At 40.6% G+C, this 3,471-nt stretch overlaps 1 annotated feature.

Annotated features, from left to right (window-relative positions):
• Positions 1,170–1,671: an enhancer, noted in NCBI's record as "NANOG hESC enhancer chr8:65843197-65843698 (GRCh37/hg19 assembly coordinates)". NCBI's record gives its function as "activates a minimal SCP1, AML or CMV promoter by ChIP-STARR-seq in primed H9 embryonic stem cells {active_cell/tissue: H9 hESC(primed)}" and the evidence as "EXISTENCE:reporter gene assay evidence [ECO:0000049][PMID:30033119]".

A 3,471-nucleotide genomic window follows, 5' to 3' on the forward strand; every position in this document is an offset into this window, starting at 1 on the left:
GAGATCCGCTGTTAGTCTGATGCACTTCCCTTTGTAGGTAACCTGACCTTTCTCCCTGGCTGCCCTTAACATTTTTTCCTTCATTTCAACCTTGGTGAATCTGATGATTATGTGTCTTGGGGTTGTTTTTCTCAAGCAATATCTTTGTGTCATTCTCTGTATTTCCTGAATTTGAATGTTGGCCTTTCTTGCTAGGTGGGGGAAGTTCCCTGGATAATAGCCTGAAGAGTGTTTCCAACTTGTTTCATTCTCCCAGTCACTTTCAGGTACACCAATCAAACATAGATTTGGTCTTTTCACATAGTTTCATATTTCTTGGAGGCTTTGTTCATTTGTTTTCACTCTTTTTTTTTTCTAACGTGGTCTTCTTACTTTATTTCATTGAGTTGATCTTCAATCTCTGATATTCTTTCTTCTGCTTGATCGATTCTGCTATTGATGCTTGTGTATGCTTCACGAAGTTATCGTGCTGTGTTTTTCAGCTTCATCAGGTCATTTATGTTCTTCTCTAAACTGGTTATTCTACTTAGCAATTCATATAACCTTTTTTCAAGGTTCTTAGCTTCCTTGCATTGGGTTAGAATACACTGCTTTAGCTCAGAGGAGTTTATTACCCACTTTCTGAAACCTACTTCTGTTCAATCTGTCAAAGTCATTCTCCATCCAGTTTTGTTCCCTTCTGGCAAGGAGTTGTGATCCTTTGGAGGGGAAGAGGCATTTTGGTTTTCGGAATTTTCAGCCTTTTTGTGCTGGTTTCTTGCCATCTTCATGGATTTATCTACCTTTGGTCTTTGTCAGAGACCTTTGGATGAGGTCTCTAAGTTCTGCTGATGTTGATGCTATTCCTTTCTGTTTGTTAGTTTTCCTTCTAATAGTTGGGCCCCTCTGCTGCAGGTCTGCTGGAGTTTGCTGGAGTTCCACTCCAGACCCTGTTTGCCTGTATATCACCAGCAGCAGCTGCAGAACAGCAAAGATTGTTGCCTGTTCCTTCCTCTGGAAGCTTTGTCTCAGAGGGGCACCCAGCAGATGCCAGCAAGAGCTCTCCTGTATGAGGTATCTGTCAGCCCCTACTGGGAGGTGTCTCCCAGTTAGGATACATGGGGGTCAGGGACCCACTTGAAGAGGCAGCCTGTCCCTTATCAGAATATGAATGCTGTGCTAGGAGATCCACTGCTCTCTTCAGAGCTCCCAGGCCAGGGATGTTTAAGTCTGCTGAAGCTGCCCCACAGCTGCCCCTTCCCCCAGGTGCTTTGTCCCAGGGAGATGGGGGTTTTATCTGTAAGCCCCTGACTGGGACTGCTGCCTTTTTTTCAGAGATGCCCTGCCCAGAGATGAGGAATCTAGAGAGCACAGTGTCCCTGCTGAGCAGCGTTGGGCTCTGCCCAGTTTGAACTTCTCAGCAGCTTTGTTTACACTGTGAGGGTAAAACTACCTACTCAAGCCTCAGCAATGACAGACGCCCCTCCCCCCACCAAGCTTGAGCATCCCAGGTCGACCTCAGACTCCTGTGCTAGCAGCGAGAATTTCAAGCAAGTAGCTCTTAGCTTGCTGGGCTCTGTGGGGGTAGGACCCGCTGAGCCAGTCACCAGAGGGAATCTCCTGGTTTGCCGGTTGTGAAGACTGTGGGAAAAGCGCAGTATCTGAGCCAGAGTGCCTTGTTTTTCCCGGTACAGTCTCTCATGGCTTCCCTTGGCTAGGAAAGGGAAATCCCCTGACCCCTTGTGCTTCTCTTGTGAGGCGACACCACACCCTGCTTTGGCTTGCCCTCTGTGGGCTATACCCACTGTCCAACCAGTCCCAATGAGATGAACTGTGTACCTCAGTTGGAAATGCAGAAATCATTCTGCATTGATCTCACTGGAAGCTGCAGACCGGACCTGTTCCTATTCGGCCATCTTGTCAGCAGCCCCTGAACTTAATTTTACTCTTATGGTGTCTAATTATTTTGAATGGGTGTTAGGCCTTCACATAACTCTTTTAAAATTCCATGTATTTAAAAATCCTTTGTAAAGACAATGTTATTATTTTCATTGATGTGGTATATACTTCTCCCAAGGTCATGTTTACATGGGCTGGAGAGAGAGAGAGAGAGAGAGAGAGTGTCAAATATTTTTGGATAAATAATTATTTTGGAGATGCTTCTTTAGTTGGCAGTTTGATCCCCCCTACCACTATACACACACACCCACACACACACACACACACATTTTCTTTCTGCAGTTGTTTTATAATATTTCCACTTGGCTTCTGAGGTCTTAGTTCATAACTAGATCTTATCATAGCTGTCTTGGACTTTTATCTTGTGTTAATATTGAATATTGCTAGTATCAAAGTTGTCAAAGTATAAAGCTTCATATATATAAACAATAATACCAGATAACCGTCAGTTTCAACTTCCTCACACATTCTTTTCTCCTCCAAACTTGGCCTTTGCTTATGAGTAGGAAAACCCTATTGTACTGCCTGATTTTGAACAGTGAGCTTGGCTTTAGTTTCTTCTCATGTGATCTACTATTATTTCTTGTTATAAGAGATAAACTTCCTAGCCAATATCAGTTCTAAATCTGGACCACACTTGTCGACAACTTTGGCCCCGCTTGCTGCCTTCTCTTACTGTTTTATTCTTGATCCACAGAATTGCCTTAGTAGTAATTTTTTAAATCTTCTTTACGTTTTACCTGTTACTACTGGGCATTTATATGGGGGTATTGGGGATTTAAAGTATGAATCCTAAATGCCATTTAAAGTTTTTAACAGTTTCATTGAGGTATAACTTTCATATTATAAAATTCACCCATTTTAAGTGTATAGTTGATGAGTTTTAGAAAATTTATACAGCTGTGTAATTATCATCACAATCCAATTTTGTAACATTTCCATTGTCCCAAAAGGTTTCCTCATGCCTAATTGCCTTACTTCTTGCTTTATTGCCCTTCTAAGTAACTGTTGATCTGACTTCTGACTCTTCAGATGTTAGCTTTTTCAGAAATTTTATATTAATAAAATAATTAAAAATATAGTCTTTGGGGTCTGGTTTTTCTCTTAGCATCATATTTTTGAGGTTAATCAATATCGTTTCATGTATCAAATTTGTTCCTTTTTATTATGAATTCCATTGTAATGGTTATATTGCATTCTGTTTATATCTTCACTAGTTGATGGATGTTTGGATTATTTCTAGCTTTTTACTGTTATGAATAATGCTGTCATGATCATTCTTGTACATGTCTTTGTGTGAACATATGCTTGTATTCTCTAGAACAGATTTCCAGCAATTTAAGTTGCTTTTCTATGGAAAGTGCATGGTATGTTTAAGAAACTTTTAAACTGTTTTTCTAAGTGACTATAGCATACAGCAATATATAGGGGTTCCTCTTTCTCTACATTTCTACCAGCATTTGTTATTGTATGTATTTTTGATTATAGCCTTTTTAATGGGCATTAAATGGTAGCTCATTCCCTAATGATTAA

Source organism: Homo sapiens, chromosome 8 (genome assembly GCF_000001405.40).
Source record: "Homo sapiens chromosome 8, GRCh38.p14 Primary Assembly".
In the NCBI taxonomy this organism is placed as follows: Eukaryota; Metazoa; Chordata; class Mammalia; order Primates; family Hominidae; genus Homo; species Homo sapiens.